The 24576-nt window shown below is 37.6% G+C and overlaps 1 protein-coding gene across 2 annotated transcripts in view; it reads left to right on the forward strand.

The window, feature by feature from the left end:
- The window catches only part of BCKDHB (branched chain keto acid dehydrogenase E1 subunit beta), a 360067-nt gene extending 335491 nt beyond the window's left edge, over positions 1 to 24576 (forward strand). The window contains exons 10-11 of one of the 2 annotated variants that reach the window (XR_001743546.3): positions 20772 to 20972; positions 23647 to 24576. Coding sequence is in view for 1 of the 2 variants with exons in the window: in NM_001424037.1 (NP_001410966.1) it covers positions 20772 to 20861 (90 nt within the window). In the remaining variant the exon portion in view is untranslated. Of the gene's footprint in view, positions 1 to 20771; positions 21124 to 23646 lie in introns of those variants that run through there. The other variant, NM_001424037.1, reaches the window with a different exon arrangement.

Genomic DNA, 24576 nt, shown 5'->3' on the forward strand with positions numbered 1-24576 from the left:
AACTTATCTTCAATTCAGTCAATCTAAAACATCAACTAAATAATGTATTCACAGATATACCACACAATGACAGTTAGTGTTCGTAATGATAATCTTGGATGAGAAAAGAGCCTACAGGGTCTTTTAGATCATCACAGTTAAATTATACTTGGCTAATATAGTTTGAATATTTAGTACAATTTCATGTTCAAAACTTCTGAAACACTTTTATTCACATGTAGACCATATAATACTTATATTATAGTAGACCATCCTATTTCACAATCAAATTATACAACAGTATACTAAATTATCATATCAGTTTTTTGTTTCTTTAATAGTTGCTAATATATGTGTATAGTTGTGAACATACCTGTATATGTGTATGTGATATGTATATATATCAACTGTATAGTTAAAACACCACATGTATAGAAGAGACCATCTGACTAGTATTTAAGCTTAGCCATGAGAATGGAATTTGGAAGATGAAGAATGTGACCTGGAGGAAAGAAGAAAATGATTACAGAGGGGCATTTGAGAGTGAGAGGATAGAGAAGAGAGAAAGAGGTTGAGGAAAGAAGATATCAGAGTCCCCTCACTGCCCTCCCCATTAACACACTCAAGGCTAAGCTAGTGAGGGGAGAGTATCTTTGGGATACTGGACAAAATATGGAATTCCAAGAACCAGGAAGCTTTTGTCTTATTCTAAAAGGATATAACTTGCAGGCTGTCTCCAGATCAATTGAGTGGTAGATCCATATTACAAATAAACATGATAGCAGAGTGTGATTAGGCAGAAGAAGGTGCATCTCAGCACCTCCTTCTGTGTAATGTGGAAATGAGCAGCTATTGTAGTGGGAATGAGCAACTCCACAGTAAAGGCATTAGGCTGTGCCATCTGGGCAGTGGATGACAGAGATATCAGTGTGTGGCTGGGGTCTGAAGCCTGTTCAGGGTCAAGATGAGCCTAAGTCATCCAGAAAGGCTGATGAAATCAGCAAAAGTCAGCCAGACAAAGGGCACTGTCAAGGCCATCATATGGCTCTAAGCATCCCTTTTCCCACCTCCTCAAGAGCACCAAGAAAGACACCAACATCCATTGCCAATTTCCTTCTCCTTGCCAGTAGGGAGGCTGAAAAAAAACAGATACTCTCTTTCTATTAATATATCTTCCTTATAGAGTAGGATGGATATTTGGCTAAGTATTGATCAATAAGATAAAGTGGAATTTGCTGGGTGGTGGGCGGGGGTCCTTTGTGTAATAATTTTGTGTCTTGATAAAGTAGGAATATGGCTGGGACCATCCCTGACTCTCTTTTTTCCTTGAATGTGAACACATGAGTGAAGCATACATCCATTGTCCATGGGGCAAGAAACATGAGGATGAAAAGCCAATATGTTAAGGACATGAAGTGAAAAGCGGGAAGAGCTTCTTATTCATGTTATCACTGAGCAGGTAAGTTAACAGTAACAGCTGCTTATATTTGGATTTTTTTGGTAAGGCAAAACAAACTCTTATTTGTTTAGGTCACTAAGCAAGTTTTCTATACTTTAGCCTTTTACTTTTTCACCACAAATTTCATTTATTTATTTATATATTTTTTAACTGTAGGAATGGGGTCTCATCATGTTGCCCAGGCTAGTTTCAAACTCCCGGCTTAAGGAATCCTCCTGCTGCATACTCCCAAAATGCTGGGATTACAGGCTATTCACCACAAATTGCATTGAGTGTCCATGTGATAGTTAATGTGAGTTTACTGAGGGTCCATCTAACAGATAGTTGTATAAGATCCCATATGTTCAGATATCTGAAAGATGAACGTGTCTACTGGAGTCATCTAAGCCAAGACTTAGTTACATAACACTGATTGAACCAAGTTTAAAATTTAAAACTTATTTTTCCCCTCTATCTAGTATTAGAAGTCAAAGTAAAGAAATTACATATTTCACTACTCTCTAGATTATGATATGGGTAAATTGGTGACCTAATTACAAAATCTTTAAAAGCTACAATTTTTAGTTAGCTAGAAAATAGTGTTTTTGTGGGGAGAGGAGTTGAAATGGAGGAAAATGATTTCAGGAAGGTTAAGTGGCAGCCAGATTGTGAAGAAACTTGTATGCCAAGATTTAAAAACGGACTTTGACTTGTAGATGTTTGGAAGTCACGGAAGAGTTTAAAATAGGAGATTAATATAAAATTAATATTTAAGAAAATTGCTTTGGAATCTATGGGGAAGGAAGAATGGAAGAGAAATAGAAAGATAAAAATGAAACTTTTAAGAGGCTAATGTAAACATGTTACGCCATGCCAGGAATATAATTCTTGATACTTATTAAAATAATTTAACCTGTAGTTCTGGTTTGCCTAACATTATCAACATAATAATAGCAGACACAGATGACAAAAAATAAAGATTTAAGTCTATTTAAAATGATTTTAATATAGTCAAAGTATTTTCTAATAACTCATCTCTTATATTAGTCAAAAGCACGCAACTGTTAAATTCGTGTGAAATTGCATATAGTGTCTTCATCCCAGCAGGTGCACAATAACTGCTTACTGACTGATGAGCTGAATTGAATTCAACAACTTATTACTAAATGCCTACTGCATATGTGCATTTACAAACAATTTTTAAAATGTCTTGCATATAGATATGGCCACCATAACACCTAGTTTTTCTGAGAGTAAATAATATCGTCAAATTTTGTGTTTTATTATTTACATAAACACAGTTATACTTGTCAAATCATGTCTCAATTTTTGTTTCAGAAATGTTAGTGCATATTCTTATGTTGCAATATAACCTAACAAATATGAACAATTATTAACACTACCTACATTTTTCTTTCCTTCCTGATACAGAATTTTTTAAGAGAATGAGATGGCCTCAAATTCTCAAGGTTGTGGCTGTCTATAGAAATGAATTGCCTAAAACAATCTTTTGAGTCTTCTAAACTGTAAGGTACATTTGAAAGTATTATCCACCCTTAGTATGAGGCAAACACTTCCTTGCCTCTTGTTTATATCTACCTTGGCACTAAAAATGATTCTTATCCTGTTTGGCTCTATCTTTCTGACTGGGCTACAGTGTTCACCCCTTTGCCTGGCACATCCCATTGACTTTGCAGTTAGTAGGACAAGGAACTCTTGTGCTTTCAGTATACAGGACTGAAGAAATTTTGTACTCATTTTTTTATCCTCTATGTGCCAAGGTTAAATATTTAACTACCTGTACATCATCAAAAAATATATCAAACCATTGCTTCAGATAGATCTGGGTTTGTTTTTGCTATCAGTTTTCTTTTCTAAAGGAAAAGACCCACAAGGATTCACTTACAAGCCAGGGTAAGACTGTTGGTGAGTGCTGGTTCCCACAGCTGAGTGAGACTCAATTGAAAGAAGCCAGGAAGAATGACTTACAAGGCAGAGGTCAGGAGAACTAATCACAACTGTAAATATATCTGTATCTATTATTATTTTAAGGATATTTCAACACTCCATAGAATGCGTAACCTGGTGTGGCTGATTTTAAGGAGAATATACCTAAAGTATCATAAGATGCAGAGACTTGTAGCAGATACATCTTAATAGCAGAGACTATAGAATGAGCCTTGAACCTACCCTTATCTGCTCCTGGCAACATTTAGAGATGTCGAGAGGAGGTCCACAAAATGAAACATATTAATATTTCATTTTCCTTTGACAAAATATACTCTTTAAAATTTTATACACATTCATTTTATTATTCCCCCAGCAAACCTGCCATGTTAAACTGTTAGGTTTAACTGTTAGGACCTAGTAGGTGCACATAAGTGAATAAATAAATACCATAGGCCATCTCTGTGCTGGATTACTCAAGGGAGCAAAGGTCTGGAAAATCAAATGCTCAGGAGAATGTTCAGGAAACAGGGAGCAGTACAATACAGCTGATGTGTAAGGTATACAGAGAGCCAAGGAATGAGATTTGTTTGGAAAAATGGATTATGTAAAATTTCATTGGCTATAGGCCTTATTGGCTGTAATTACAACAAAAAGCTAAGGTGCTCTAGGAGTGAAAATAATTTCCGGAATTAGTGGCATGATAAGTGATTGTCAAATCCAGTGTAAGTTAAAGGATCACTATCCATAGAGATTAAAGCAGTTTAGATGGATCATTAGTTATACAACTGCCAGAGAAGTTGACTTAACTGCTCATATTTAAAACTGTGTACGCATGAGAGTGGTTAGTTCTACAGCCAGGCACGTGGGCATTGTCTGATGTAGTGGGATAATTGGACTGCTCCAGCACATCCCTTCTTGAGAAGGTACAGAACACATTTTACATGGTTTCACGTGTTTATAAAGCTGCATGTTGGCACAAAGACAGCAGACCTGCTCCACTTAGGAGAACTGCTCAGTCCAATAGTCAGGACTCAGCTGGGCCCTTGGAGCATGGAGCACGAACTCGGTAATGAGGGGCAGCCTGCCCAGTCTCAGAAGGCCCATTACCTCCTACTCCAGTAATAAGCAGGTACAGAGTGGGAGGAAGGGGCAAGTGTAAGAGTTAAAGAAAGAGGAAAGAAACACGAAAAGTGGTTCAACAGTCAAAGACAGGTTTATTTTGGAGAATAAACCTGAGAGGGGCTTCTGGACAATTTTTTTTTTTTTTTTTTTTTTTGGTCAGGAGCATTCTCTCTTACAGACTAAGAGTATTTAGCGGATCTGGGTGGGAAAATTTATCACAGGCTTGTAATGTTTCTGTGTGGAAGTGAAGTTTATTGCATGGTTGGAATGTCTGTGGTCGAGGAGGGGTTTATCTTATGGTTGGAATGTTTCTGGTTGGAGATGTCATTTGTGCTTTATGGTCAAGCTGACCTTAGACATTAGGCTAATGCCCTCTGGATTTAGGCAGTTTTTAGGCAGTTTTTAATCAAGGTGAACTTTAAAATGGCAGTGCTTGTCCAAGATGGCAATGCTCCTGCTCTATCAGCAAGAGTGATGAAGCTTGGGACCTTGGGCGAGGATATTTTTAAGTGCTAAATAATAAAAACTAGTTTTTTTCTGGATATGATGAACTGTGTAGTACAGTTGAAAGTCCAATCCAGAATCATCTTCCTGGCCCTTTTGTGCCACCATTTTCTTATCTGCCAAATGAGGGCAATAATTCCTGCCTTATTATATACTGTTACTGTGAGGATCAGATGCATGATGTATGTGAAAGAAGTGGATACTATTTATTTTTTGCTACCTTTTTTTGTATTTTGCCTTTTTAAAAACAGCTTTGAGTATACAAGCATGCAATAAATGCAATAATGCATGATAAGCATGCAATAAACTGCACGTTAGAGGTGTACAATTTGAAATTCTTGACAAATATATACAGTTATATATATATATATACATATATACAGTTTATATATACTATTTATATATATATAACCACAATGTAGATATATACACATTATAGTTAACAAAGCATCACCACAATTAAGATAATGAGCATATTCATCATGTCCCTAAATTTCTTATGCCTAGCTCTCCTGCCTAACCCTTTTGTCCCAAGGAATCCATGGATTACTTTCTGTCACATTGGATTATCTTACATTTTCTAGAATTTGTGTAAATAGAATTATACACTATGTATTCTTTTTTGGGAGTGGGGGAAGTCTGACTTCTTTTGCTCAGCCATAAATAGATGCCATTTATTAAACATCTTCAGTGCAACAAGAACTGGACTAGGCACTCTCTGTTCAATACCTCATTTAACCCTCTCAGACAAGTATTGTCATGCCATTTTACAGACATGGAAACAAGTTTGGTGAGTTAAAATAACTTGTTCATTTATTTATTCATTTAACACATTTGTTTTGAACCCTTACTATGTGCCAAACATGGTAATAGATGGATAGTAAAAATAAATAAACATAGAAGTAAAATTAATAAAAATAAGACAAAAATAGATCATATCATGGTAGGTACTATGCAGAGAGTTAAACGGAGGTGCTGGGATTATGTGACTGGGTGGTATATCTGAAGAGATACCTTTAAGTAGATGACTGAGTGGTACAGACACACCAGCATCAAGCCAGGAAGGAAGGATGATAGCAAAGTCCCTGAGACTGGAAGACTTTTGTATGTTGGAGGAATGCAATTTAGGGTAGTGTAGCTGGAATGATGTGGACACAGGAAAAGTGGTGGAAGATGAAGTAAGGCAGGGACCAGATCTTATAAACCAGAGATAGGTTTTAGGATTTTTATACTGAGTGAAGCCTTTGAAAGATTTTTAAGAAGGAAGTGACATTGTCTGATTAAGTTTTTGGATGCTATGTGAAGAATATATTTTAGGGAAGAGGAGAGAAAGCAAGGGGACCAATCAGGAGGTTGCTCAGTACATCAGGAGAGAGCTAACGGTGGTTGGGGCCAGGATGGCAATGACAGAGATAGAGCAAATTGGAAGGATCCAGGACTCATGTAGGAGGTGAGGGTCAACAGAATCACTTGTGGGACAAGGGGGAAAAAAGGATAATTCACAGATAATTTTTTATTGTATTAATAAATTTATATCCTGTAAAAATTTCAACACACACAAAAGTGGAAGAAATAAAATGAATCCCAAATATCTTTCATCATATTGAATAATTATCAACATGTTTCTGTATTTGCTTCACCTATCACATCTGTCTGTGCTGAAGTATTTTAAAGAGATATCCTTGATGCCATGAAATTTCACACCAAAATACACAGGGCTGAAAAACTACCTATTGGGTACTATGCTCATTACCTGCATGATGGGATCATTTGTACCCCAAACCTCAATGTCACGCAAAATACCCATGTAACAAACCTGCACATGTACCCCCTGAATTTAAAATAAAAGTGGAAACTAGGAAACAAAATGTGAGAACATTTTCTTTCATACTTGCAACCTGATTATTATTCCTAACAAAATCAGTAGTAATTTCTTGTATCAATTAGTACCTAATCCTCAAATTTCCCCAGTTATCACAGAAAAAATGCCTTTCTAATGTTTGCTTGAATCAGGATCCCATAATCAATACTTTGCATTTGACTGTTAAGTTGCTTCAGATTCTTTTAATCTAGAACAGATTCCTCCTCTCTTTCTTTTTCCCATGCTATGTGCTGGTTGAAGAAACGAAATTGATTTTACTGTAGAATGCCCTAAACTTTGAAGACAGATGATTACTTCCTAACTTGTAAACAAGTTTGGTGAGGTTAAAATAACTTGTTATTCATTTGTTCATTTAATACATTTGTGTTGAAAACCTAGTATGTTCCAAACGTGATAATAGACTGTGAGAAAGGAGTGTTGGCTCGTCAGTACAAGGCCTTGTGCTGTTGGAGCTTATATTCCACAGAGAACATGGATAATAAAAATAAATTCTCAAGTAAGTAAAAATAAATAAGAATAGTAATTAATACATAAAAATGAGGCAAGGTTATGTCGAGGAGACGTTAACTTGTTCTCTATTCTCCATATTTCCTATAAATTTAAAGTTAGATCTAAAGACTTGATTAGACTCAAGTTAATCTTTTCTGACAAAAACCCTTTATAGATGTTGTGTGAACTTCAAATTACATCATATCGAGGGTCATCATGTCTGGTTGTCCCACTCTTAGAGATGGTGATGTGGACAGCCTGATCTTCCAGTGTCAAGATGTATTTCCCCTTTTATAACTAGCCATTAATCCATATGATCATATGACAATAATGTTCTGTCATCAACAAGTTCTATTTGTTTTTTACTAAAAAACAGTTCATAGAGTTCATATTGAAATATTTAAGCATTTAGCTTTTTTTTCTTCTTCTTTTTTTAACGTTAGTTTCCAATAGGAAGTTGCTGCCAGAGCAATCTCAATGGTGACTAATGAGTTTATTTTTGGATTTCCTTTTTGTGGAATATTATAATGAACTCATGGACTTTCATATGATATTATATTCAAATAATTGCAGTCAATAGTCTTCTTGGTCCCAAGTTGGTTAACAGGGTTCTGAGTGGAGTATGAAGAAAAAATGGCCTCTGAAAGAGCTGCAGAGGAAAAAGTGCTATTGGGAGGGTGTTTTATGTTTGTCAAGATGAAGCAGCTCATAAAGAGACAGGTCTACTTGATGCCAAAGCTCATGCTTCCATTACTCCCAGCCCTTCCTAAAATGAAGTGTAAAAGTAAAAGTACTTTCAAAAATAAGAATATTGCTTTTTAGTGATATCCTGCTTTGAGTGTATTAATCAGCTTTTCTTTTCTTTACTTTTTTTCTTAGAAAGAAACATTTAATGGGGGTTTATGAACAGAAGCTATGTCTGTGTCTTGGCCAGTAGTGAGACAAGATCGTGGATCCTAGCACCATTACCCACCAGACCCCAGATTATATACTTTAGGGGAGGGGCGCTTGTGCTTCAGAGGAAGGGGATAGGAATTTGCATTTAAGGGCAAGAGTTTTGGTATATAGGTGCTCTTACACAAAGGACAATAGATAAACTAGAAATCTCAGAGGCACTCCCGTAATTTGGGTTAATCGGAAGCCAATATGGCAGATTAGCACCCAAGGTGAAATTTTTTTGGCCTTCACACTTCACCCTTCTAATCCAGCTGTTACAATCTCATGCACCTTCCTCTTCCATGATGGTCCCTGAGCTTTTAGGAACGGTGTTTAATATGTTGTAGCTTTAGCAGCAACACACTGGCAATGAAAAACAACAGGCCCAGTGGGATTCCAAACGGGGTAGATTCACAGGGTAATCATCTCTAGTCTTCAGAATACAATGACTTCCATTTTCTCAGAAAAAGTAAAACAATGAGATACATAACATTAATAATTTAAATAGTAGAAATATAATGCACACAAATATTACAGTCAAAAGAGAATTTGTATGCCACAACAATAATAAAAATAATCTATTCCATAAGAAGTCAACTAAAGACGTCATGAGGAAAAATAAAACCTGGTTATTTTTTAGAGACTTCTTGTAGCCAGGAAATAATTCAGGATTAGCCCAAATTGTAGGCAAATAACAAAATTCAAAACAATGCTCAGGGCTAGAAACTAAAGTTTTCTTTCCCCGGTTTCCTCATTTCTACCAAGAATAAATCATAGTAGGACCAATTTATTTGCAAAATAAATTTTGGTCTCATTATATTTGGCCTGGTTATTTGCATAAAGCATATAAAAAGTGGTGATCAGCGTATAGGCTCTTTTTAAATTGGTTTTACTGGAACTTTTATAAGGAATTTCTAATTCAACTTTTTAAAAGCTTTGAGGCCAGAAGCCAAGCCAAGCATTCACCATTAGACTGTGCTTGTAATATCTATACAAATTTTGCTCTTCTTGAGGTCCCAAAATATCTTGAGGTTTCTGGGCCCACTAGAAAGTGGCATTCTTGGCTAGGCAAAGAGGCTGTAACCCCAGTACTTTGGGAGGCCTAGGCGGGTGGACCACTTGAGGCCGAGAGTTCGAAACCAGCCTGGCCAACATGGCAAAACCCATTTCTACTAAAAAATACAAAAATTAGTCGGGCATGGTGGCAGGTGCCTGTAATCCCAGCTACTGAGGCATGAGAATCACTTCAACCTGGGAAGCGGAGGTTGCAATGAGCGGAGATCACACCACTATACTCCAGCCTGGGTGACAGAGTGAGACTCTGTCTCAAAAGAAAAAAAAAAAAAAGAAAGTGACATTATTTATCACAGTATCACAGGTCAGAAACCTTGTAAGGAAACCATTTAGACAAGGTCCTGGGCCAGTCTTTTCAAGGGGCTTTTTTATTGGCTCTATACAGTCAATCTCAACCCCTCAATCTGGTCATATCTGAAAATATGCCATTCCAGTCAAAGCCTTGGTAAAATAACCAATATCTGTGATGTCAAATAATCCCCAAATCTCAGTGAATTGAAACAAACATCTATTCCTTTCTTATATTACAGTCTTTAGCTATGAATTGGCTATGACTGCTGGCTCCTTTTCAGTTCTGCTCCATGTGTCTTCTTCTGAACCCCAGGTTGCTGGAGTGGTCACAATATGGTACAGTCTGGTGGCAGAGGGGAGAGAGCAAGAGAGAGGTGGAATATGATGATGTCACTTAGATCTTGTATACATGGTTTACATCACATCTGCCCATGTTCCATTGGCTATAGTGTGTCGTAGGACCAAGCCCGATTTCAGTGGGGTAGAGATGTATATTCCAATAGGAGGCCCTGCAAATCACATGGCAAAGGCAGGGAATCAATGTTTTCTTACAGGGAAGGGAAGAACAAATACTTGAGAAAAATTATGCAAGCTATCACGATTGCCATTATCTGGTAACCTTCATAACAGAAATGGAGACATGAGTATAGCATTATGCAAACATAATATCTAAACAGTCAATGTAGATGCAGGGGATATAAGAATAAAAAATGATCACTATCAAGTCCCACAGAGCTTAAAGGAGAAAAAAAATCACTAATGTAAAAATGCATAATATACCAGAAAGGATTATGAAATGTTTATTTTATTATTATTTTAAAGAGTCTGTGTGTGTGACAGTTTAACTTTTGTACTCACAGAAGCATTCTTTAGTTCTTCATTCAAAATTTAATTGCTCTTAATTTACTCACAATTCTAAGAGGCAGATTAGAAGCAGAATGTTGTAGGTTGTGGTGGGCATGGAGCACACTGGAGGCAAACAGTAACAAAATGAAGGAGGAAGAGTCAACAGCAAAAGAAGTCTTAAGAATAACTAAATCAAGGATAAATAAAATCTCAGGAAACAGAGCTATCTGGGAGGATTTAGGAGCAAATGACTTTGTACAACCTAATACTTCTTAGCATGCAACAAACTATCTTTTCTTCTACAGTTAGTGCCGTCTTCTTGTCTGCCACGAATTACATTCCTTCCCACAAGAGAAACATGCATAGATAAAAATCACGTGCATTTAGTTGCTGTTTTCAGAAAATCACTATTATAATGCATATGAATATATATCAGTATGGACAGGCCAAGTTATCCTGTAGGAACAAATAACTCCCAAAATTTTGGTGGATGAAAATAATAAAGGTTTATTTCTTTTTCATGCTTCATTTCCAACGTGGTTAAGCGGGAACTGGGGGCTCTGCTCATTATAGTTGCCCACGGCCTCCAGTCAATGAAATTTCCGGCCAATGAAATGCTCTACTGTGACTGAAGCAGCAAAGAGAAGATGGTAAGTTATCCACAGGCACTTAAAGCCCCTGCCTAGAAGTGCTACATGTCACTTCTCACATTTCATAGTCAAAGCAAATCACAAAGCCACTTCAAGGGGCAGGGAAAAACACAGGACCTTTCAAGGAGAGGGAAATGCAATTTCCCTTCTGCCCAAGGGGAAAAATTAGAGATATTTAGGGCATGGCATTAATGACCAGACATATAGGACCACAATGTGAAAAACAGTTCATACACATACCACAGTGTGGTCCTATGTGTCTGGGCCTCCTGAAAATATAGAACAATTTTGTTGGATAGCCTGCCTAACTCTGAGCAAGGAGATATTATGTCCCCTGTATCTATTTTGACTGTTTATGATATTATATTTGCATAAAGCCCTGAGGAAATGAGACACTGTGTTGGTGAGGTTTGATGGGGCATGATAGATAAAAAGGAGTAGTGTCGGGTGTGCGATGGGGGAATCCTGTGAACACCCTCAGCTCTGGGGAGGTTGCAAGTTCCCAAAGTGCTGAGGATTATAGTGCATTATTTTCCTGATCTCTTCCTGTTCTTCCTGCTTTATTTAGAGAGTTAGGTATTCGGCAAGTTTCTTGTATTTCCTTCTCCCCTCCATTTTCATTCTCTTCTTCTAATACTGCCTAGAATAAGTGGTTCTTCACTCTGCTTCACACTGCTGCCTTGTTTTTCCACAAGCAGAACCCTGAGAAAGGCTCTGCTTATATTTCTTCTTCTTTTAATGTTGAGCCCTGTGACATGAGCATTTGGGCTCACATGCTATGGTATGGATTCTTAAAGGAATATGCTCATACACTCTACCTGACCCAATTTCACTTTAACTTTTTGAAGGGTGGCTTTGAAATCAGAATTGGATGCAGAGGGAGTCCCAGAGGCCAACACTGTGAACATAAGAAGGGAAAGACCAGTTCTGCAAGCACAGATGTAATTTTGAGAAGCAGAGCTACAGGTAATTAGCACATGGTCCCTAGAAAAATAGGCACAATGAGTCGACTAGAAATACACACTGTCTCTTGAGAGCAAAACTTCACAATCAGCACTGGTTCTTCCACAAAGGGTGTTTCTGGGTCATTGTTCTTTCCAACCACAATTAGTCACACTTGTTTTTTACTTGGTGGCTTGACAGATTGGCCACACACTACTGAGGTATGTGAACTTGCTGAGCTGGAAAGTGCTGCTGCTCATATGCATGACCCACTACACTCTTGAGGATCTACACTTTCTGAGTAATGAAGCTGTGGGATTCTCAGGCATGAAATATTGTGGAGGTAATGAGCTGAGTCTTGATACATCTCTTAAATAGTCAGAGCTGCAGACCTCATGGCCTCTGATCTTCCATAGAGACCTGGATAGAGCTGAGTATTGTTTGCAAGGCATTGGATGCTATAACTATCTTTCCAGATGGGTCCCAAGGAGATGAAGGCCCAGAAGATCTGAAAAATATGTGTATGAATTTGTAGGCAAGACCACACAGAATCAGGAGCCCCTCCCTACACTGTCAGACTAGGTCCTCCAAAGTTGACTTTTACGTTCTGCAGTCTAGCCCTGGCTTGTCCTTTCTTGTTTATGCCCAACTTGTCCTTCTTAATGACTCTCCATTGTGGTTTGAACTTTCCCGCCCATACATTTGCCTATCAATTTCAACACACTATTCTGATTCTAATTATTCTTTAGAATTGAGCTTTGACCTCATGTTGTCTATGAATCCTGTCTAATCACTTCTGCTGGAAAATGTCTTGCCTCATATTTCCTATTTTACACAGAGACCATTCCGGCCTCCTCTCCCATTTATTTCCTGCATATAGAAGCATCCTGCGTTTAACATTGTGAATGTATCTCATGCTCCCATGAGTAATATCCTTAAAGACCAAGACATATGTGTGGGAAGTGAGAGAGGAAGTGTAGAGATGTAAAGATATTTTACATTCTTTTGTGTATTTAAGTTGTCAGCCTAGGTTACCACACCTACTGAAACATAAATAAAATCTCACATCTTCTGGGAAATTCAGGGCCTCCCTCCAAGATTTCTACAAATTCTGGAAGGTTTACAGTCTCCTTTTCATAGTTACCCTCATTACCATTTCCTGTTGGTCCTGAATCTCACACATGTCGCATCTCCTCAAGACTTTACCTTATCTCAGCTTTGAACCTACCTGACTTGAAAACTACTACTGTTCTTGGATTTTCCTGATAATATGGCTCATGTAAGGCATTCATAGTAGCAGACTATGCTGAAGTCTTGTAGGGCTTAGACTCCTTTATACCATGCAGTAAAAATAGCATACTAGATATTTCTTTTCTTCACTGTTATTTCAGTACCCGTCAACGGAGAAATTTCTCACTAGCTAACTCCACAAGACATGCACCTATGCAATGGGATATCCCCTACAGGACCGGATCCCTTCCCTCTCTGCATGTTTTCAATCCCACATAAATCTCCCCTTCTGCAATTCTTAAAATCCTTAATGTTTTAACAAACATTTAGCTATCTCTTATCACATTTCCAACCACATTTTAGGTGTCTTGTCTTTCACACCCCAAACAAAGTAGCAGGTCAAGAAGGCAAGCTAAAAAGAAGACCATTGACGTTGGAGAGCAGGCATGCTGAGTACTACCTCAGGGGCAGCTGGGACTCAGTAACCGTTCTTTTAAATAACAAACCTTCGCTGGGCGCGGTGGCTCATGCCTGTAATCCCAGCACTTTGGGAGGCTGAGGTGGGTGGATCAGGAGTTTGAGACCAGCCTAGCCAATATGGTGAAACCCCATCTCTACTAAAAATACAAAAATTAGTCTGGGGTGGTGATGGGCGCCTGTAGTCCCAGCTACTCGGGAGGCTGAGGTGGAAGAATCTCTTGAACCCTGGAGGCGGAGGTTGCAGTGAGCCGAGATTGCACCACTGCACTCCAGCCAGAGGAACAAGAGCGAAACTCCATCTCAAAAAAAGAAAGAAAGAAAAAAAACTACCGCCAACAAAAACCCTAAAACAACAACACATAGTGCTTTTCACAAAGTAGATATCGGATGTCCATACGTTGAATAAAAGAACAATTGCAACAACAAAATCCAAGGTACTTCCCTGCTCAGGTAAGAGGCTGTGGCTCTGACAAAGCTTTGGGGGTGTCTCTCACCTGCCCCATCATTCACACTTCCTTTCCTAGCTCCCAGATTTCTGTCTATTGTTGTTAGCTGGTTGCCACTTAATCCCCGGTAAAAGTTTATCTTACAAAGGTGTAAAGCATGTGTAGCACTCCTTTCCGCTTCTCCATCACTTACCAGAAAACAAAAAAGCCTTCAAGATTCAAAGTAAAGCAGCTAAGCATTTAAGTATGAAGATAATATTTAGCCTGAAGGTCCTGCCAGTTGTCCCTTAAATGCCACTTGCTAAGTGGCTCAATGTACTGTAAGACAGCATCACTTTGGGTACTTGTTGAAAGTGCAGAATCTTACTGGATCACAATCTATGAGGATTCTTACTGCATTCTTAATAAGCTCCTTGAGGGATTCTTATGCTCAAAAGCCTGAAAGCTATAGTGTAAATGCATTCTCATACATGTGTTTCAGAGAAAAAAAGGATTCTTCCCTTCTTAGGACTAGTACATCTTCCGTCTTGATCCTTCTGCCTTCTCATGGAGGAAAATATGAGTTCATTATGCTGTATTGACAGCCAAACACATTTCTGTTTTGTTTTCATGTTGGCCACAATAAACTGTTTTTTTAAATAATAAATCAATTAGACTTCTTCATCATAAACAGATTTCTGAACACAACCACTTATATTGTGAACTTATGTGACACACTCCTTTTTCCGATAAGTAGCTAGAGAGTAAACAAGAAGCATACAGATAAATTTGGTGGCATTTTAAATTACATAAGAAAATGAAATAGGAAGTAACCTCAGCTGGAATGTGACTTGCAACTAGAACTACTGAACATGGCATACCTGGTGTGAGCTTGGCACACGTGAGTAGGACTTTCAATGGTCAGCCACCTCTGCTGCCTTTCAGACTTATGCTTTCTTTAGAGGCAAGTCCCTGGACCCTTGAAGTATGGGAATTTAATGCTGACACCAGCAGAAAAATGCCACCCTTCTAGTCCCCTGCAGCTATTGCTTGACTTTCTTGGATTGCAGCAGAACTCACCTCCTCTGCAAATCCTGACCCTGCTGAGTGTGTGAGCTCTGGCAGTGTGTCCAGGCTAAATTGGCACACACTCCCTCCTGTCTGTTTGGGTGAGTCACTGAGTGTTCAGAGCACATTTTCCCTTCATTGGCTGCCAGCTATAGCTATTGGCTCACTCATTCTCTTTGGAACAGCTCAGCACTCTTGTGCTAATGCAATTGCTTGAACTGATGTACAATTGTGTAGAGTCCTGCAGGAAAGCATAAAACTGCTGAAGGCTGAGACCTGTCTCATCTACCGGGAAGTCAGACAAAGATGCTTACCTTGGTTTACTTGTTGCTAACATACTCATCCTATTTGTGGCCCTCTTATGGCTTCCTAGTGTATAGAAACCTCACAAATTGCAAAGACTCAAAAGTGCCAGTGGCCAGGAAATCAAAGACAAATGTTTCCCCTTTCGTCTGCGTCTTAAGATGAGAAACAAAGGGTTTGTATATCTGGAAATATGGGCAATTTTTCTCCTTTTTCTGCTATTCTCAGCACTTGTGTATTTTGGAGTGCATTAGCTGAAGCTTGTATATAGACATAGATTTCACGTAAGTTAACTGTCTTCCTATATAAGCTACTACCTTCATTAAAAGCAGGGAACTATTCTCTTTTGTGTCTATCACAGAACCCAGTTATAGGTTGAGTTCAATGAAGCCTTAGAAAGGCTTGTTGAAAAACTGAATGGGGCAAACTCTTGTAGAAAAGCCAGGAGTGTTGAAGGAAGGACTATTTTGCCAGTCATCTTAATTTTTTCTGCACAATTTCTGCAGATCAAAGGAAGGCTTCACTTATTCTTGGAGAGAAGAAATGCATAATAAATCAGTCTGCAGTAACCTAATTTCACCTCCTGGGTCAAACAAATAGCCAGAATCAAGTTTTAAAGAAAAAGTGTTTGTGGGAATCTGGGCACATGACAGAGGCTGGGCATTTTATGTGAATTTGTCCACGTGTATGAATGTCTTAATTTTTCCAGTTATTGTTTAGTGGATGGAAGAAGCAGCAGGAGCTCTGTGAAGGCAGACAGTGTGTATGGTGGTTTAGATCTTGGACTCTGAAGTCAGAGATTCGAAACGGATTCCTGTCTAGGCCACATACAAACTCAGTGAATACGTGTGACACCACTTAACCTCTTTAAGCCTCAGGTGCTTCATGTATCAAGCATGTGTAATAGAAATCCCTCATGGAGTTGTGGTTAGAGTTAAATGAGATAATTAATGTCAAGTGCTTAGCCAGGTAACTATAGTAATCAATAAATGATAGTTATTATTACTAATAGTGTTTGATTACATGTGGACATTGAGGGATGGGGTGACTGAGACTTATATTCATATATTAATTTGTTTCTAATGTTGACCTGAATTTCTATGTAGTTCACTGTGAGAAAAAAAGTAAAAAAATCACCTAACTGTCATGAACAAAACTAAGCTAAATATCAGTGTCACTAATCATCAGGAAAATGCAAATTATAATTATAATGAGATATTAGTCACACTTGTCAGGATGACTATTATTTTAAAAAACCCACAAAATATAATAAGTGCTGTTGAGGATGTGGAGAAATTGGAACCGTTGTGCAATGTTGATGGGAATGCAAAGTGGTGCAGCCACTATAGAAAACAGTATGGAGGATTCTCAAAAAATAAAAAATAGAACTACCATAGGATCCAGTGATCTCACTTCTGGGTATTTATCCAAAAGAATTGAAATTAGTATTTCAAAGAGATATTAGCACTCCTGTGTTCACTGCAGCACCATTCACAGTAGCCAAGATGTGGAAACTATCCAAAAGTCCATTGACAAATGAGTAGATAAAGAAAATGTGGTATATACACATAATATAATACCATTCAGCCTTTAACAAGAAGGAAATTCTTTAAGATGCAATAATATGCATGAACCTTGAGAACATTTAGCAAAATAAATAAACCAGCCACCGAAATACAAAGACTGCATGATTCCACTCATATGAAGTATCTAAAATAGTCAAATCCATAGAATCAAAGAAAGCAATGGTGGTTACCAAGGACTGGTGGTGGAGGTAAATAGGGAATTACTAATTATCAGGCATAAAGCTTCAGGCAAGCAAGATGAATCTAGAGATCTGCTGTACAACGTTGTACTTATCATCAACAATGTACTGTATGCTTAAAATTGTGTTGAGGGTAGATATTATATTAAATGTTTTTACCACATTAATAATTTTTTAAAACCTTAAATTAAAATTAAATAGAAGTATTTGGTACACTCTCATTGGCCTATTGTTAATGCTTCACCTTGTGGAAAGTTGGCAACCTGAGAATTTTATGGAAATAGAATTGTTCCATCACTTTTATTTCCAAATATGTAACTGAGGTTCTTACTGACTCTTCCAAAGGTTGAATGTCAAGCTTATGTAACTGCATGGAATTACTCGATGATCTGAGTTATTCCAATTCATTATGACATCTTGGATCCATAAGCCATTTCCAAAGCCATCCCAAATAGATAAAGATCATCTACTGTCAATAGAACTGGAATTTCAGTAAAAAAGGTTGGCAGAAGATACTTTCTTCATGTACTTCCATAGTTTTTGAGGATTGTTCCTTATTGAGCTATGAGAGTATTGATTTTACCCCAATGGCTTCCATATTAGAAAAGATGTAAGAAATATCCTTACTAAATATACATTTTTAAGTCTTCAAGATATATCTAAATGATGAAGCAATATTTAACAGCAAGAACCTTTGAACTTTCTGGAAAAAACAAATTTTATTTTTCCAATTGAGATATCACAAGTAATACTGAGCATGTCTTGCACAACTCCAAATCAAAGATAATGTATTTAAGACAATAATAAAATTGTCCATGATATCCTTTAGGAATAAACGTGGAGAAAACTTTTCTTAATTATAAATGGATATTGCTGAACAAAACAAATACTAATGCAGAGGCACTTGCTTTACATTTCCCAGTGAACTCTATTTGACCTTCACTTTAAGGGCACACAGCAGGAAAGCTGTCTGGAATACCCCACCCTAAACAGTGAATAAATTTATTACATCTCTGAGTAAAGAATGCCCAAGCATTGGCTCACAACTTGATAAAGGAAGCAAAACAAAAATAGCCCAAGCCCTTTTTGTTCAGGAAAAGTTCAGTTTTTAGGTTTATCCTCAAAACATTGAAGTTGAAGAGACTTGGAGCTCCCTGACTTAGTGGTATATTTCAGTTATGAATAATAAGAGACATGAAGCATTTGTTACTATTGTAAAAACCTGATGAGCTCTATCCCACAGTGACTCAAAACTCTGCTGAGTTAATACTTTTGGAACAAGACTGATCTTGGCTTGAAATTACACTGAGTTAAGTGGACACTTTTTAGACCTTATCTTTCTTGACTGCTCTGCAAACTTTGACATTGTTGACTGAACTCTTCTCTGTGAAAGTCTTCCTTCTCTGTGAAACTCTTCAGCAGAGCTGAACTCTTCCTTGGCATCTGAGATTCCTCACTCTCAAAGAGATTCTCCACTCTACCTTATGATGGCTCTTGACCAATCTCTTAATAGTTGGTCTTGCTGAGATTTTGTCGTGATCTTGTTAGAATTAAACACTAAACGCATAGTCTCTTGGTGACGTAATCTATTTATGAGATCAACTACTACATATGGGATAAAGAATTTAAAAATCAATTATATTCTGAGATCAAAATCTCTATTTCCAACACCTCACTAGATTTTTTTACTTGGATGTTCTTCTGGTATCCCACATTTAATGTGTCCAAACTGAACCCATTATGTTCTGCCCTGCTTCTCCTATTCTTCCTGTTTCCATAAATGCTACCACCTAGTTGCCTCATTCAAAAACCATTCTTGAGTCCACCTTCATTTTTTCCCACAAATAATCAATATCCAAGACTGTGTCTATATTCTAATCCTCTCTCATCTTATCCATATCTGGTCATATTCATTGTCAGTGTCTCAGTTCAGGCTCCCATTGTCTGTTTCTTGATCACTGCCTTAGACTCCTAACTGGTTTTCCCTGACTCTTTTCTCTATGCTTCAGAGTTTTACAAAGTGTTACAAAATAGACATCTGATCATTTCTTTCACCTGATGAAAACTCTCCCCAAATTTGCTATCATCCTAATCATAAAGTCAAACTTGTAAGCAAGTAAAGAAGTCCTGGATGCTCTGATTTCTTTTTATTTTTTAATCTCTCTAGCTTTAGTGTTTTCCATCTTTCCTCTTGTACTCTACCCTATGGCCATATTAAAATACTTGAAATTGTTCAATGAGCCATTTTCTGTTTTTCCTCTGGGTCTTTGCCTATGCCCTTCCTTCTTCCTGGAATAATCTCTTTGTTGGTCTCATTGTTTGTCTGGCTTCTAATACACAAACAGTTGTCCTTATGATGTAAATGTGGAGAAAACCAACAGATGACAGCAAAATTTACCTGAAAATGAAGCAAAGAAATGAGGAGTTTAAAAGACAGAGAAGAACTGCCTTTAATCAAATGCTTGGAGATTTTGAACTTCTTATATTTTGATTACCAATGTACTTTTTTTTTCAAATGTATAAAGGTACTGGATTTTCCTAGCCCTTTCTGTTTATTTCATGTTCCTATCCATAAAAAATAAAAAGTGGTTTGACTATTTTCAAGGCATAAAAGAAAAACAACTATTACCTTTAAGCATATACTGTAGCATTAAACACATATTGTCTCTTTTCAATTCTAGGCCTAAGTTAGGAGTTCTTTCTTGTTACTTCTATGAGATCTGATGCATTTATATTTCATGATACTTATGAAAAAATATTTTCAATGCCTATTTACTTATCTTTCTCCTTCAAGAGTTATTTGAGGGCATGAGCTATATCTTTTCAACATCATATCCCTAATGTCTTTCTCAATAGTTGGTACATGGTAGGCACTCAACAGATATGTTTTAGAATTAACTAATTAATTGTGGAATTATAACCCAAGAAGAAGAAGATGCTTCAAATATCGTGCATTATTTCAGAGTCACTAAGCATCAGATGAGGATTTCTGGGCAACTTTTCTTAGCTGATGTGCCTTCAGCTCACATCCAGACATGGGAATGATAGAGAGATAATAGACAATTAATTTTAGGTTACAGTAGCCACAAACTGGGCCCTGAAAGCACATAGCCAGTGTTTCAGGAGTCTTCTCCGTGCCCTTCTAAGTGAGTATGAGAGAGAACTTTTATGGTTCTTGAAGGCATTATGGCCCCCATAATCTCTGAAGCCAGGGAAATACTTAATTCCACATTCATGGCTTTTGGGAATTCAAGTAGAATCCAGAATGTTGGACCTGATGCTCCATGAATTTGTGGGAATCAAATCAAGGTTGTCAGTGGTTACAGAGTGCCAAGAGGACTTGATATTTCCATAGATTTTCTTCTTCCAAATGAAGCTTGAAATTATTTGTCTATAGTTCTGCCGGAGGCCTCTCCAGATTGTGATGCACTGGGAGCAAGCCACCATGAACATATCCTCAGGTCTCCAGTCTTCTGCCATCGCATGAAAAATGGAGCTTGTCAAACACAGAGCAGAGCTGAACTTTCTGAATTCCACAGGACAGTTCAGAGTGCTTGGAATGACACCCACCTGCAATTTAAACAAAAAAGAAGGATGAGTAAGTGAGGAGCTAAAAATTGCATGTTTCCCTAAATTAGATTTATTTGTAAGCTTTAAGTAAGTGCAAACATATTTCGAATTATCTGTTATGAATTGTGGTTTTGTTATTAAATAGACATTTTGTTTAATTCTTATGTGCAAAGTGAAAAGAGACTTGTTTTGCTGGATTTTTCTTTTTGGTAAGTATTGAATTTTGAAGGGGTACTAGTTTTTCTAGCCAAATTGAAAAATTTCTCAGAATTTAAAGGATACTCCATGTGAGTTCAAGCTGTGTTAGGGTTTGGCTACATATTTTTCTTTGGCAATGAAAAGTATGTTTGATTCTTATGACTTGGTAGACTTCAAACAGGCTCACACACAAACTGTTGTCCTTATAAGGTAGATGTGGAGGAAACCAACATATGAGAGTGAAATTTATCTCAAAGCAAAGAAGTGAGGAGTTTAAAAGATAGAGAAATGCCTTTGATTAGATTCTCTGAGGTTTTGAGCTTCTAATATTTTGATTTTCAATATACTTTTTTTTTTCCAAAATTTGAAAGGTTCTGGGATTTCTTAGCCCTTGTTGTTTGTTTAAAGTTCCTATCCATAACTAATAGAAAGAAAGTGGTTTGGCTATGTTCAAGGCTTAAAAGAAAAACAGCTACCACCCATAAGCATCTATTATATGCCATAACATTGAACACATATTGTCTCATTTAATTTTCCTGGCCTCGTCACACTACAGTATTATCTTCCTCACTTTACATATGGGAATAATGAAACTCAGACAGGTAAAGTGATGTACACAAAGGCATGCAGTTAGTAAGTTTTGGGCCTTGTCCATCTGCTGTTCCCTATGTCTGAAATATTGTGTCCAGCATTCCCTTGGGCTCATTCCTCCTACCTTCCCTACTTTCTTTGAATAACTCCTATATCCTTCAAAGCACAGTCTCTGGTTTTCCACCACCACTCCAGTCTTAGTTAGGTGCCCTCCCACTTTCTACCCGACCGAGTCTGCCTGCATCAAACACAGATTACAAGTGCATTGAGTCTCTCTCATCTTTAAATCTTTATTATTATTATTATTCTTTTGAAGTGGAGTCTCACTCTGTCACCCAGGCTGGAGTGCAGTGGCGCGATCTTGGCTCACTGCAACCTCTGTCTCCTGGGTTCAAGTGATTCTCCTGCCTCGGCCTCCTGAGTACTGGGACCACAGGCATGTGTCACCACGCCCGGCTAATTTTTTTGTATTTTTAGTAGAGATGGGGTTTCACCATATTTGTCAGGCTGGTGTTGAACTCCTTAGCTCATGATCCACCCACCTCGGCCTCCCAAAGTGCTGGGATTGCAGGTGTGAGCCACTGCACCCAGCCTCATCTTTAAATCTTTAGTGATTCACTTAGCTCTACTAATTATTATTTGTGAAATAAAATTTTAAATTAGTAACTTCCTTAGAATTTCTATGAATAATTGCTCAATTGCCTTATCTGAAAAGAAAACCTTAATATCTAATAAAAATTCCTCTCCTCAGTCTTGCCCAATGGAGGCCATTCACTGAACAGTTGAAAGGAGACTGCTTGCCCTTTATTCCTCACACTTCTTTCATACTATTCTTCCAACATAACCATTAAATTTCACCTCAGAAGAAAGGCCACAATATTCATTATACTGCTCTTCCACATTTGCAGTACATCTTAGTTTCTGTATTCTAGGATAGTGAAGATAGAGCCTCAGGTAAGAATTAAGTGCTAGTGCTTTATTGGGAGTTAAATCCCAGGAGAGTGAGAACAAGAGAAAAGGTAAGTGGTGCAGCCAAGAAAGGTGAAGCATTACCCCTCCATTGGCTTCTTCACAAAGCAGGGCAAAGAGCACCTACTGTTATTTGGTAGGTGCCTACACTCAGTCATACAGGACTTCTTTATGCAGGCTGATTGGAGAAAGTAAGACAGAGGAAATTGAGCTGCCCAGGTTTTTTTCCCTGCCTCTCTTTGGCCAAGATAGCACCAGAGAGTGTTAACTACCTTGCATTCCAGTTTGGGTCATTCAGCTCCTTTAGCAGCCTCCTGGGAAGCCAGATGCACTCCCTGTGGTGGCATTTCCCCAAATGTAGAAGAGATGAGAGGAGTCAGAGACTGTGGGCTTAAAGTGGTTAGTTTTAAAAGGCTGACTGCATAGCCCTGCATTGGTAGTGGAAGTGAAGTAAGCTGCTGAAAATTGAAACAGGTAAACCTGAGAAACTCAGAAGGGGCATATGAATCCATACAGACATACTTCCACCTCGTACATCTGATTTATTTCTCTTTTTACACCATTTTCTGTCACAAATCTCACAGCTTTCCAAACTATAGTACAACTGGTCAAAATGTCTGAATGTTGTATACCAGGAAAATATGCTGGCAACTCAACCACAGCACAAGTCTAAAATCAAATTTTCTAATACTGTTCTGTCAAAACATTTTCCTTCTCTGATTTTTGTCATTTCTCTTCATGGAGACATGAATGCTTGTATTAACTTAGGTTGAAACATCAGAACTTCAGAGTTATCTCTGATTCCATCCCTCCTTCCACCCGTAGGCAAAGCACATCATGTAAACATATTAGCAATCTCTCAGTAGTGGTGAGGATACTCTCTGGCACAAATTGCACATTTAGCAAGAGTTTGAATAAAATAAATAAATCTGTTTGCTTTTCAGTTTGCTGCTACATTTGTGTGGGAAGTGCTGCTTGCCGATAGGGAAGTAGGAGAGGAAATAAGGAAAACAATAAACCAAGTACAGTTTTGCAAATACCCAGACACATTGGATGGACACAGAAGCTTTCACTGGGAGATTATGAAGGGTAGATGCTTTGTGTCTCCATTGCCTCCTGTGATGTGACCTCACATTACAAGCCACTGTGGTTGGAACTGCTGGCAAAATGGAAAGAACCAGGAAGAACATCAAAGGAGAGTTTTAAAAGGATATGAAATGTATTAATTTGTCGTAATTATCTACTTTTGATAGAAGAATCTCAGAGGTACTTAAGTTGATGTCTTGGACCTTCAGTCCAGTGCTGACATCTTGTAAAATGTCTTAAGTTCCTACCAGGTAATTTCTGCTTTCTGTCACAAAGCAGGAGAGAAGTTCCAGGAGGAAGTCATGTATTTTTCTCATCTTTAGGTATATTATATGTATACCCCATATTTCCCTATATTATACTTACACATATATTTATGTTACACTTTCTATTTCTCTTATTTACGTACATTATTAACAAAAAATTTTTGGAAGATTGTAGAAATAAGACATGTAGGCATTTGAAATTTTGTGAGAAAGAGCATGTCAGATTTGGGAGTTAGGGATTTTTAGACATTGCCATAAGAGGTAAGTAAATGCTGACACCTTGCCTATAGTTAATAAAAATATATTATACATTTGAAGTTTTCTAAGAGAGTAGATTTAAAATTTTCTCACTATACACACACACAATATATATATAACTATGTTAGGTGATTAACGTTAATTAGCTTGATTATGGTAATCATTTCACAACATAGACATATATCAAAACATCACATTGTATGCTTTGAATACATACCATTTTTATTTGTCAACCATTCCCCAATAAAGCTGGAAAAAACAAGA

The sequence above is a fragment of the Homo sapiens genome, chromosome 6, assembly GCF_000001405.40.
Source record: "Homo sapiens chromosome 6, GRCh38.p14 Primary Assembly".
Lineage (NCBI taxonomy): Eukaryota > Metazoa > Chordata > Mammalia > Primates > Hominidae > Homo > Homo sapiens.